The sequence below is a fragment of the Homo sapiens genome, chromosome 2 (genome assembly GCF_000001405.40).
Source record: "Homo sapiens chromosome 2, GRCh38.p14 Primary Assembly".
NCBI classification, from domain to species: Eukaryota; Metazoa; Chordata; class Mammalia; order Primates; family Hominidae; genus Homo; species Homo sapiens.
Window position 1 is genome coordinate 139,379,868 of NC_000002.12, and position 14,036 is coordinate 139,393,903.

At 37.3% G+C, this 14,036-nt stretch overlaps 1 long non-coding RNA gene across 1 annotated transcript; it reads right to left on the reverse strand.

Annotated features, from left to right (window-relative positions):
• Window positions 1–4,857: 4,857 nt before the first annotated feature.
• On the reverse strand, window positions 4,858–9,031 carry LOC105373644 (uncharacterized). The gene is made up of 3 exons (XR_923377.3): window positions 8,358–9,031; window positions 6,556–6,732; window positions 4,858–5,006 (listed from the first exon to the last, which is right to left on the reverse strand). It is a non-coding gene; the product is annotated as an uncharacterized LOC105373644 (long non-coding RNA).
• Window positions 9,032–14,036: the final 5,005 nt, after the last annotated feature.

The following is a 14,036-nucleotide window of genomic DNA, read 5'->3' on the forward strand; positions in this document are numbered from 1 at the left end:
CATGAGCACCAGAGTATTTTGAATGAAAGGAAAAAAGTGCAATTCAGGATATGACTCCCTACCCCAGCCTACTAGCAGATCCCAAATGTTGTCATAATCCAGTAAAATATAACACTACCAAGTTGTGAGGCACTGAGAAACCATTGCAGGTGATAGCCAACTGTGTGTTCCCAACTCTGAGCAGTTCTGCCTGTCAGAATCTTCCCATCTCAGTCCCCACCCACCTCTTCAGCCTCATGTTTCCTCAAGCCTTTCTTCAGATTGACCACACTTCACTTCTGTGTCTACGAGGATTTGCCTTGTCACTAAAATTGTTATGTTACAATAGGGCCCCATATCCATTAGGTAATTGGCTTTGTCATCACCTTCACTTCTAGTTACTTTCTTGGAATGTTAAATGAAACATTCTTGCCTTAATAGTAACATCAGTTCCTACATATCTTCCTTGTGTGTGTTTGGTTGGCTGATTGTCACTTTCTACTCTGAATGTTGAATCAGACTGCCACTTTCTACTCTGAATGTTGAATCACCTTCTTGCTCTGCCCTCTACTTGCATTTTCTTGTCTACTTACCTGTCCACTTATCTTTTGATCTTTTTGCCTCCCCTTCTTTGGGCATCCCTGTCCTTCAGCTTGCCTGGATATGACTTCTAGCCTTGTGTGATCTTGGATATGTGTGCGTAGCCCAAAGTTATACCATTCAACAGACTCCAATGTCATTAAAGGGATCTTGTTCCACCATGTATTTTTCTGCCTTTTCCCCTAAATTACCAAAATTTTTGGCCTGTTAACATTTCTGTCTCTGTATACAGATCATAGTCCTTTAATGTACTTTACTACATGCAGAAATTCTATTGATTTGGATTCAAGTCTTTCATATTTGGCATTGCTTTGCAATTCACTTGCTCTTTTATAGACCCATTTTGACAGTTCTCAAGAAGGCTGGTGAAACAAGCCTGGCTGTGATTTGGGCTGCAATTCTTTCTTTCTCTCCGTGAGAAATCTTTGTAGCACTGTAGTCAAAGCTGCATACAGAATTGTCTGACCAGCTGCTGTCCATGGATAGAGCCAAGGCACCAGGCTGACCTCATACCTAAGAAGCAGTTATTCAGAAGTTGTACATGATTATCAAAGATGGAATTTATCTCTACCTAGGGCTAAAAGTTTAGGCAGTTCTGTACTGATTACTTTTTTCAGTCACATCAAACTCATCCTCATACAGAATAAAATAAAATAAGTTTTTCGTGTGCCTGTCTTGCTTTGGGAAATGAAGAAATGAGAGTAAGTATCATCTTGTTTATGAAGAGCAAATACTATGATTAAAAATCAAGATTAAAAACCTCACACTGTTCAGGACAACTGGATCACAAGAATATTTTGGTTTCAAGTATCACTGAATTTTATTAATCTCTCTAAGAAAACTTTATACAAATAATAATTAAGCCTTGGATTTGCTGAATGGATGTTGGAAAATAGTAAGGTAAAGAGAGGCCAGCAATCTCTTTTGAACTACTAGCCTTCTGGACCAGTGTGACTCTGCCTTTGATGAGGAGTACAGGAGGAGGAGAAAGACTTTTAAGAAGATTGAGCACTTGTCATAAAACAAGACTGCTAGGGACATACATAGCATGGTTGAAAAAATGACTTTTGGAGTCTCACTATGGTCTGTACTAGCGCTAACAACAAATGAAAATACAATGTGGGCCAATTTGTAATGTTTAATGTTCTAATAGCCACATTAATATATGTGAATAATCTGATAAAATTAATTTCAACAATATATTTTATTTACCCAAATATGGATGAAATTATTATCCAACATATAATCAATGTAAAATGTTTTTAATGAAATACTTTCATTTAAAAAAATTTGAACTAAGTTTTTGAAATCCAGTATGCATTTTAAACTTGCAGCACATCTCAGTTCAGACTAACTATAACTCAAGTACTCAATAGCACCTGTAGCCAGGGGCTCCCCTATTGAACAGTGTAATTTTGGTCCCATAGCATCCTCCATTGACCAAGCAATGAAGAAAAAAGTCCAACTATGGTCCAGGAAAAATATCCAGTGCTGGCTGTGTCTATATTCTAATAGTGAATGCATAGGTCATCATACATAGTACATGATAAGCACTAGGAATTGGGAAGACAATAGTTAACGTCATATCTCTATTTTGCAATAGAACTCTATAAACAGACATCTTGATGTTACAAATTTTCTATGTGGTTGATGATGTAGTTAAGTTAGGAAAAGTAGAGCCAAGCCGTGCCTCCAGAGATAAGTCTTTTAGTTAACTTGATCCTCTGGAAAAACATTCTCTATGATGAAAGCTCAAATGGTTCTTGCCCATGTCTAATACATTGTGAGGTTTGGCTCTATGTCCCCACCCAATCTCATGTTGAATTGTAATCCCCATGTATTGGAGGAAGGGCCTGGTGGGAGGTGATTGGATCATGGGAGCGGATTTCCCCCTTGCTGTTCTTGTGATGGTCAGTGAGTTCTCATGAGATCTGATGGTTTAAAAATGTGTAGCACTTCCCTGTTTGCTCCCTCACTCTCCTGCAACCATGTGAAGAATGTGCCTTGCTTTCCCTTTGCCTTCTGCCATGATTGTAAGTTTCCTCAGGCTTCCCAGCCATGCTTCCTGTTAAGCCTATGGAACTGTGACTCAATTAAACCTCTTTTCTTCATAAATTACCCAGTCTCGGGTAGTTCTTTATAGCAGTGTGAAAACAGACTAATACAAACATCAAATGTAGAACTCACTAGTGAATTAAATTAATCCAATTCAGCTGTAAAGATGGTTTAGCTTTAAACCATCTTTCAAGTTCCTGAAATTAAAATTTTCAGTCCATTGGTTATTTCATCATCTACTCATGGAATTCAACAATATTTTTATCTGATAGCCATTCCAGTTATTGTTTATATCTACAATATTCCTGTATGAGAGCTTTAGATCTACCCACTTCAAAATATTTGGCTTGGCAGATTAGCTCTCCTCTAGTTTCAAAGATTTCTTTGAAAAATAATAGTACTTCATTCATTCAGGGACAGAACTGAAAAATTCTGGGGTACTTAAGGTAGAATGATTCCTAAAGATGTCATCATCCAGTTGTTTTCAAATGGGGCAGGGATATGTGAGTAGGGAATGCTCAAATACTCGATGATAGGCAAAGATTTCCAGGGCATTGTTTTAAGAAATTTAATGTCACAATCCTGAAAAATAGGTGTATCCAGCTCAAAATTAATTCTTCTGGTAAACTGATTGTTTCATAACCTTTTTTTTTTTTTTCAGAAGAAAGATTCTTAATGTTACTATAGTACGTTGCTTTCATGCATTAAATTACCAGGGCACCAAAGAGAGGGAATTTCTCCTTTCATGGTTAACCCGAGTCTCTTAAACTCACAGGACTTCCATATTCCTGTTCTAGAGTATAAATTTATTTTAAGAATAAAACAAGGTCCTAGAATTTGGCTGGCAGAATGACCTGGGTGTATGTAGTCAAAAGAGCTTTAGCCCTCCTGATCTTTGCTCTTACTTTTACTCCCATGTATGTTCTATTACATAACAAAAGGAACTTTGTAAAAGGAATTATGATTAAGAGTCTTAAGATAGAAAGATTATCCTGGATTATCTGGATGAACGCAGTGTAATCACAAGAGCCCTTAAAAATAGAAGAGGAAGGCAGAAGAGTCTGTCAGGGAGATGCAATGGCTGAAGAACAGGTAGGAGAGATTTTAAGAGTGAGAGGGACTCCATCTACCATTACTGGCTCTAAGATGCAGGGGCCACAAGCCAGTGAACATAGGTGGCTTCTAGAAGCTGAGAATGACTCCCAGCTCACAGCCAATAAAGAAATGGACTTTGGCCCTTCAATTGCATAGAAATAAATTCTGTCAACCACCTGAATGAACAATGAGATGGATTCTCCTCTGCCTCCAGAAAGGAACATAGTCTTGTTGATTCCTTTATTTCAGCCTTGTAATACTTAAGCACAGACTACAGTGCCTACTGGAATTCTAACCTACAGAAACTAGGCAATAATAGATGGCAGTTGTTTTAAGCCACTAAGTTTGTGTTATTTTTTTACAGCAGCAATAGAAAACTAATACAGGATGGAAATAAAAATTTCTTTAAATACTTGGCCTATTTTATTTCCTGACCTTTGTTAAGGAATAAAATTCCCTTGAGGGACAGTCCTGTGAAAGAAGAAGAAAACAAAAAAAAATATATTGATAGGAAATAATGACCACTAAAATGCTTTCTTTTTTTCCACATAAAAACCTAAGCAGTTATTTTCAACTATCATTAGGAGAGTAATTTACTCTTCCATTAGAGTCAGTAATTGGAAAGAAAACCACCCATGAAAAGCTGAATGAGTCAGTGATTCTGAATCTTTTATGTGATACTTGAATGTTTCCTAGGACTGCCAACATTTTCAAGATAAAATTTTTCAGTCATGCTGGAATATGTTTAGTATATTGTTTCAGCAGTATCCCAACACTGAGGGCTTTTGTCTTTGAAATAGTGCCATAGCTGATCCTTTAACATGCCATTCCACATTTTGAATTAGGAAGCTTTTATGAATGATGATGTGTGGGGGGCATGATGAGGTAAGAGCCACTTAGCAAGACCAACGGATCCTATGAGACCTTCCCTCACACCTCTGTGGCTATAAAATGGTTCTGTTGGCCTAAGGCAATATTATATACGATACCATGTCAATAAGTTAGGAAATCCTATAAGTCCTCTGAAGATTTTTCCTGTTCTGGCAATTATAGGATGGAAAAAAACACACCATAATTATAGTAGATATCAGTTTTGGTATGAAAAGTCACTGTCATATTTCTGGGGGGTTGGGTGGTGCTACATTAGAGGGGTCCAATACATTGAACTTACTACCAAGTGGCTGGTCTCCTTGAAGAATGGTGATGCTTACAAAGTTTATTATTGGTCTCAGCTGCTGGAAAGTTGGACACTCAGCAATGGTAGTGGCTCCATTAGTCTTGGTGAGAGGAAGATCATATTATTAGGCATGTGTACAACCTTAAACCACATCACCACGCTCACTCTTCTCATGGGCTTATTGCATTACCACTAAGATAACCAAGAAGAAAGCCTTTCTGGCTTTCATGAAATGAATCATCTTATCATCTCATTGTAAGAAGACTCCTACACAGTAGATATTTTTTTTTTTAGACGGAGTCTTGCTGTGTTGCCCAGGCTGGAGTGCAGTGGCACGATCTCGGCTCACTGCAAGCTTCACCCCCCAGGTTCATGCCATTCTCCTGCCTCAGCCTCCTGAGTAGCTGGGACTACAGGTGCCTGCCAACATGCCCGGCTAATTTTTTGTATTTTTAGTAGAGACGGGGTTTCACTGTGTTAGCCAGGATGGTCTTGATCTCCTGACCTCATGATCCGCCCACCTTGGCCTCCCAAAGTGCTGGGATTACAGGCATGAGCCACTGCGCCCTGCTCACAGTAGACATTTTTTTAAGGATATTAACTTAAGATACAAAAATAGACATACTTTCTGTTCACTAAATAGGTCAATTCATATACTTCTTTTCCTTTTCTTTGTCTCTGTTCTCTGAATCTCATTGCATCCAGGTCCCTGGGTAACCCACCAAACTATGCTACTTCCCAAGAGCTCATGTATATATGCAATTCACACCACTTTTTTCTGTGTATAAAGAAGATGGCTAAAGGATTCTTTACAGCTCTGTCTACTGGGAGGATCTCCCTTCAACACACTCCTTTATCACTTTTCCATGAGTGTGGTTAAGATTTCCTAGTAGTCCATTTGGGTCAAGCTTCAACATCAATGAACTAGGCTGAGTTTTTCCTCCTCCAATATCTGGTTAATGTTAATAACCAATAAAATTATAACAATAAATTGAAGAGAGACAATGATGCAATATTGGCTTCTGAACTGGTTTTTTGTATAATTTAATGCTGGTTTTGGAACCGCATAGACTCATTCCCAAATTTTCTCTATGTTTATAGACCATGACTGTGTCTGCCTTACCTATGACACAACGGAATCTACAATACTCAGCCAAAGATGGGCAGACCCACTTCCACTATCACTGGATGTTCCAAGGTCAGGTGATCAGCTCTCCTCCCACAACCGAGAACCCAGTAGCATACCAGGACCAGTTTTCAAACACAGAGATGTTCCCTGCCCCAGAATGTATAGCCTTGCTGAAGAAGCTTAGGAGCCTTCACTCTAACTCTCATACTATGGCTTGACAGAAACTACCTCTAGCAATATTAGCTTAGCTGAAATGTCCTGAGTGGCAGAACCATTTGTAATGCAGACTGGATTTACTGCAGAATTTTAACTGTCTGAGTGCCTCAAATATGGAAGCCTCCCATATCACCCCAAAATGGATCAGAGCTGTATTACCAAAAGCAGTCTATGCTACCATCAAAATCTAAAGAGGCCACTTTCTTAGCGGTAGGTGGTGTGAGGGGCAACAATTTATCATTTCTTCTATAGGGGATAAGTAAGAGGATTACCTTTGATAGCTCTATCCTAAAAAAATACTCACAATAGTGCAAGCTTCTGAATCTTCATAGAGTTAGATCCCTTTTCTGACATGTGTGTCTTGCTGGGACATCTAGAGTACCACCACTTACTGCTCACTGAGACCTAATAGTATGATTCATCATTTAGTGGGCCAGCACCATATTGTGAAATTCCAAGATGACCAAGTTCTCTGCAGACACTACAATGACAGAAAGCAAGAGTGTTAATAATGCCCTGAAGCAAATGAGCGCTCATGTGCTGCATCACTGTCATGTGAAGGTGTATGGCTCCTACCTTCCTTACTAATGCAGTCAAGAACATATTTGCCAGATCCCTAGCTATAAACCAAGAGCCAGAAGCTGTGTTGATCTGCTTCTGTGAAATTACTGTATCCAGTACAACAGGCTTTATTTCCTGCCATAATTCATCTTTTCCTTGTTTTTGCTTTGTTTTGATTTTGTTTTTGAGACATGATGAAATCTCTTTATGATTTTGTTGGAAGTGATAACCTTTGCAGTCCTTTCTAGGATATGACATTTTTTTGTTTTCTCTCTTAACTGGGGAAAGCCTCATGAGCTTCCATTTAGGATTTTCTGGCATGAGTCTTAGCTCAGAGGTCAAAAAACCAGCAAAATATTTATGATAGCCGATAAGTATATCTATCCTGGTCACACATATGGGCAATGGGAACCACTTGGGCTCTGTTGAGATGCACATAGACCAAAAATTCATTCATCACCTGGTTTCCGTAAGTTTCTCTCTGCCTAGTGAAGCACGATGGCATTTTCAGCTTTCTGGAACCAGTATGAGCGCAAACCTTGCATCTATCAAGCCTCAAAAAATCTAAATATTCCCCCTTTCCCAATGCAAAATTATTTTAACAAATGGCTTCAGATTTCTTTCGGGAAGGATTGAAGGAATATTTACCATATTTCCTTGCAGTGGTGTTACAAAGTGCTTTCTCAAAGACTTTTGACTTCAGTTTCAATCTGCATCTGACAAACTTAGATCTAGAATCTGAATAGATCTAGAACATGGATGAAATGCTCCAGTTCTCAGCATTTGATTTTTCAAAATTCTGCTTATCAGCATTTGATTTTTCAAAATTAATATTAGTACACAACTCCAGCAACACCCAGATTGACTGCCCGTTTGTCTCACTATTGGGACTATCATGGTCTGCTATTCATTGCCACAGACCTCTATGGATCAAATATCCCTTTTTGCTACTCTGCTTTGCTGCCTATTATGGAAATTGCATTTACTTTACCTCTGACGGTTATACACAGCCTCCAGATCACCACCATTCCAGAATCTGCTACTCCCTTTATTACTAGGGAGACAGTACCAAGGAAGCATCTCCCATTACTGTGCTACAAAAGACAGACACTTTCAAGCTTTTCAATGATCACCTATTTTCTTAGTAATAATAGTATCGCTGGACCTACTAAGGAACATAGCTAGGTGGTGGATTCTCAAGTCTAACATAATGATTTCATTATAACACTCCCACTTCTCTTGACCTCACTGACTACTTTCTCAGTATATTTCAGGAAGTATTTTATCTATTGGCCATCTTCAGAGCATGTTTCAAGAAGTTATTGCCAAAAAAATATATGCCCTTGTTAGAACATCGAAGCTCCAGTCATGGGTGAGTGGCCCATGTAAATAACTTACTCTATAGCCCACATGTAGTCTAGCCCTATTTTCTAACCCACAAGATTTACTCTTACATTTGCTTCCAGTCACCAGCAGTGCACACAGGCAGAGTCTAATTCCTTCAGCATGTGAGTGACTTCTTTCATTAACTAGAGTTGTACTTACCCACTGGGCTTGTCTGGGATGTGATGTCGAATGCCAGCCTGAAGGCAATAGGAGTGGCATGTGAGGATTCTAAGAAGAACAAGTGCATTTTGTGAGTTGCTGTCACAGGCTTTCTGTCTTTCAGAGTTTGCCTTTAGTTGGAAGCTGACTTTCAGAGCCTATTTTTGTAAAATTGGTGCTTTCAAAGTAGTTAAAAACAAAAGTCAAAAAATATACTTTACAATCCTTCAATTTCCTATTGCTGTCATGTAGTTCATATGCCACATCCTCATACTAGACGTTGATATGCTCCTTATAGCAATTAGTCTCAGGGGCAAGCTTTAGTCATTATAATATCACCAGCAATGGGGAGTTTTTGCCATGCTATTGGTGACTAGTCTTTCTGCAAAATCCCATCCTGAGGTTTTTTTATTGCTGTTCCTCTTATCAACTGTTTTTGCCTGGGTGCCCCAGAAGGAAGAGACTGTGCTAAGGGCTCAGGAATTACAATCCTGGGAAGTGAGAGGAAAGGAAAGCTATTATTCAGGGTTCTCCAGAGAAACAAAACCAACAGGATATATACACGTAGATATATGAGATTTACTTTGGGAACTGGCTCCTGCAATTAGGGAGCCCAAGAAGTCCACATATGCCATCTGCAAACTGGAAAACCAGGAAAGCTAGTGGTAGATGTCAGAGTCAAGAGGCCTGAGAACTGGGGAGTCAATGGCATCCTTCTCAGTCCTGAGCTGAAGGCCTGAAAATCTGAGGTGCTGCTGTGTCCTGGAATCCAAAGGCCTGGAAATATGATGTTCTGAAGTGTCAAGGCAAGAAAAGATGAATGTTCCAGCTCCAGAAGAGAGAAATAATTCACCTTTGATCTGCCTTTTTGTTCTTTACAGCCCCTCAATGGACTCAGTAATATCCGCCCATCTTGGCGAGAGTGGATCATCCTCACTCAGTCTACTGACTCGGCTGCTAATCTCTTCCTGAAACACCCTGGCACATACACCCAGAAATAATATTTTACTGGGATCCCTCAATCCAGTCAAGTTGACAGACAAAGTTAACCATCACAGAAAATGAATTAGGAACATATGAAGAGACAATATGAGATGCATTATCAAGCTGGACACTGCCAAATACAGTTGATTTCTCAATCCATTGTGAGAGTTTTTCAATAAATGATATAAACTGTATCTCAGGTCTGCACATGCAGAGTAAGAAGAAAGAATTTATGCATCATATTCCATTTCACATTGGTCAAAAATTTTCCAGGAGTTAATAACTGCCTGCTTTTTCCATCTGCACATGTGCAATCTCTGATCAGGACCAGCATCTATTGGAAGCACCATGACACAAGTGAGAAGTACACAGCATGGGTATGAGGCACTGTCCAGCACTCCTGCCTGAAATTAGGTGGAGCCCACACAGACAGGTAGCTGGAAAAAGGGACAGGTGGGAAAATAAACTGTAAAATGAATGAAATATGTCCGGCATATTCACCAACATCTATTTGTACATTTTGAGAAACTGAGGCCCGTAGAAGAAAAATTAATTGCTCAAGTCCTCACATATAGAAAAAATAGAGAAAACTGATCCATTGTACTGGCTCAACAGAAACTAAGTTTTGGGCTATTCCCTCTGATGTTAGGGCTTTAGAGTACTTGTGTTTTTTAATAGCCTGCATTTGTGTGTACAGATATATCTTGTTTTTTTCTTAATGGACTTGTGTCTATATTTGTATTTGTGGTTTTTAATAGTCTGTCAAAGATTAGCCAGATCTGATAATGGTAAAAGAAAACTGCTAGACTCCATATCCTATAGAAGAATGATAGTAAAATTCTACTTTAAAAATGGAAAGGGGAAAAACGCTATGGACTTATTTGTAACAATGTGATCAGTTATGTTGATTCCTGGCTCAAGATTCTTTGAAGGGCAATGAGAAGGTGAGTCCAAAATGAGGTAGTTGGTTTCACCTTAATCTGAGATTTCTAAGTGGAACATTATCAGTTTATTTAGGCAATAAATCAGATATAATTCATCATCACAGGCAGGCGAGAGTATGTGTTCTTTTTTGAGAACTTTCTGAAGATATTTTATTCATTAATGGGAAAGAAACTAGTAATTATTGAGTGTTTAATATAGGCTAAGCAGAGATTTTCACCCTTTAAAATACCTCACCAAAAGGAGTTGTTACACTTAAATTTCAATTACTTCTAAGGTGGAAAAAAATCACTAATTTGTCTTGAATTAGAGTTTTTTTCTTCAGCAAATTCTAAGTGGGTTAGAATCCTTGATGTAAGACTGAAACTGCTGTAGACCTGTGACCCTCTGGACTGGAAGGGAGTCTAAAGAAGCACTGTGTGTACAGTGAACTAGCCCAGGAAATGCTGGTCTGATTTTAGAGCCTTGGGACATGGGATTGCAATTGACTGCCTGTATTGATGTCTGCACAGTGAGTCCACTAGTCTAATAGCTGCCTAATGAGCTGAGGCATCTCTCTTTCACCAAAAATAAAAAAAAAAATCAGACTTTTTCAGCACCTGGACAAACCATCTAAAATTGAAAGATCAAAAAAATCATTTTAGTTGAAAAATAGTTATATTTACCATTTACATTTACTATGGTTTTTGGAAAACCTGAAAAGATACCATTTTATCTTAAACATTTAAAATAAATATATTTAATTAAATGTTTCATTTTTAGATCATTGCTGCCTCATATGCAGTGATAAAATGATACAGAGTGATTATAGATACATTTTCTAAGTTTTCTCCAAAGGCAACATCTTGGAAAATTACACTGCATTGTAACAAACAGGATATTGGCCCTGAGACAGTCAAGATACAGAACATTGCCATTGCCACAAAATTCCCTCATGCTGCTCTCTATAGTCACCCACACTTCACTCTCTGCCAATCCCAGGCCCTGGCAATCCCTTATCTGTTCTCCATTCCTATAATTTTGTCATTTCAAAAATGTTAAGAAAATGAAATCATACAGTATGTGACCTTTGGTGATTGGCTTTTTTTATCACTCAGCCTAATTCTCTAGAGATTCGTCCAGCTTCTTACATGTATCAATAGTTATTTTCCTTTTATTGCTGAGAAGTAGTTGGCAGTGTGAATGTACCACAGTTTGTTCCTTGTTCACCTGTTGAAGGCCATCTGGAGTTATTTCCAGTTTTTGTCTATTATAAATAAAGCTGCTATAAATAATTTTGTACAGATTTTTCTGTGAGCATTTACTCCTCTGGGATAACTGTGCAAGAATACAGTTGCTGAGTAGTGTTTAGTTTTTTCAAGAAGCCTCCAAACTGTTTCCCAAAGTGACTGTACCATTTTATATTCCCAACAGCAAAATGTAAGTGATCCAATTTCTCTGCATCCTTGCCAGCATTTGAAATTGCCACTAATATATAAAATATATATTATATATATTCATATATATGATCTATATATACACATATATATATACACACACACTAGTGGCAATATATATACCAGTGGTGTGTGTATATATATATATAATATGTGTGTGTGTGTGTGTATATATACACTAGTGACAATGTATATACTAGTGGTATATATATATTAGCTATTTGATATGTGTGTACAAATATATATGTGGTTTTCAACTTGCATTTTCCCAGTGATAATGATGTTGAATATCTTTTTATGTACATTTTTGCCATTCGTGTATGCTTTCAGTAAAATATCTCTTTATGTCTTTTCCCATTTTATTATCCAATTTTTTTAACTTTAGTTTTGAGAGTGTGTATATATTCTAGATACTAGACCTTTGTCATACATGTGGTTAACAAATATTTTTTCCTACTCTATAGCTTATCTTTTCATCCTCTTAAGGGATTTGTGTATTTATTTTTTTACAGACAGAGCAAAATATTTTTAATTTTGATAAAGTACAATTGATTTAGTTTCACTTATATAGATTGTGCTTTTGGTGTGCCTTTTTTCTAGCCTTAGATTCTGAAAATTTTTTCCTATTTTGCTTTGGCTTACAGTTTTACATCTTGAATATAAGTCTGTTCTCCATTTTCAGTTAATTTTTGCTTGAAATGTGAGACTTAGACCAAGCTTCTTTTTTTCTTCTTCTTTGTCTATGGATATCCACTTGCTCTAGCACTATTTGTTGAAATCTATCTTTCCTCAATTGAATTGTACTTTTGTCAAATTTGTTTTGGGCATGTTTGTATTGGTCTATTTCTGGTTCCTGTGTGCTGTTCAATTTATCTGTGTGTTTGTCTCTGCACAAATATCCTGCAGTCTTGACTGCTGTTGCTATATTATACCTCTTGAAATTAGGTAGACAGAGTCTTCCTATTTTATTCCTCTTTTTCACTTTTGTTGGCTTTTCTATTTTGTATATTTCCATATAAATTTTAAAACAGTCTTGTTCATATCCAAAGGAATTTGATAGGAGTTACATTAAAACTGTATATCATTTTGGGTAGAATGCATGTCTTTATTAATTTTTGGTCTTCCAATTCATGAATACCATGTCTCTCCATTTATTTAGATATTAGGTGATTTCTGTCATAAACATTGTGTAGTTTTCAGCATACAAGTCCTCTACATTTTTGGTAAATTTACAGTTAAATTTTTTTGAGTGATGTAAATATTATTGTATTTTTAATTTTAATGTCTATGTATTCATTGTTAGTATATAGAAATGCAACTAATGTTTTCAGTGTTTACACATATGTGTTTAAAGCATCAATAATTATGATAGTAATCCTATGTATTATGTATTTCTATTGTTCTCATTTTGGAAACTATTTTACTCAGATGTAGAAACTGGGCCTAAGAATGATTGAGTTACATGCTGTATCAGTTACAACTGCTGCATAGCAAACAACTTCAAAAGTTCAATGGCTTAAAACATTTATTTTCTCTCATGCATTTGTCAGTTAGCTGGGGATTACCTGAGAGGCAACTGCTCTAGGCTGGGCTTGGTTAAGCTGCAGACTGAATCCAGCTCTATTCTGTAGCATCTTTCTTTGGACAGTGGGCTAGGAGAGGAATATTCTTCTCTTGGTGGTAACAGAAGTATGAAAAGGCAAGCCAAACCATTTCAACCATGTTAAGCACATGTCAAACTTCTGCTTGTATCACAAATGTTAATATCCATCGGCCAATGACAGACACATGCTATAGTCCAACATCAGTGGAAAACAGTGATATATTTCATCTCTACCGGGACAAAAGGCAGCTTGGCACAGGGTATAGATACAGATAGATAAATTATTGGTGCAAATAATTCAACCCTCCACATGTACCCAAGATCCAGCTATTATTAGTATAAGGTAGAACTAGAGCAGAAGTCCAGGTCTGTCTGAATTCAAAGTACATATATTTTAAGTGATTAATATTATTCCCAATCAATAAAATAAAATGATCACAGGGTAGGGAATATTTGTTGAATAATGGATTGAATGAAATATTCAATTCTGCTCCTTGCTAAAACTTACTTTGGATATGTAGATATGAACTTCATTTTTGTGGCAGTGGTGTAAAATTTTTCATCAGGTAAGCAGACTCAGTAATGACTCTGCTTTATTTCCTGTTCCTTCAATATCCAAATATCCTCTGATCACACTGGGTTATGGAACCTAAAAATGAAACTTTCTCAGTGTTGCAATGAAGTTGTTTTCAGATTTCAGTAAATAATGTTCTC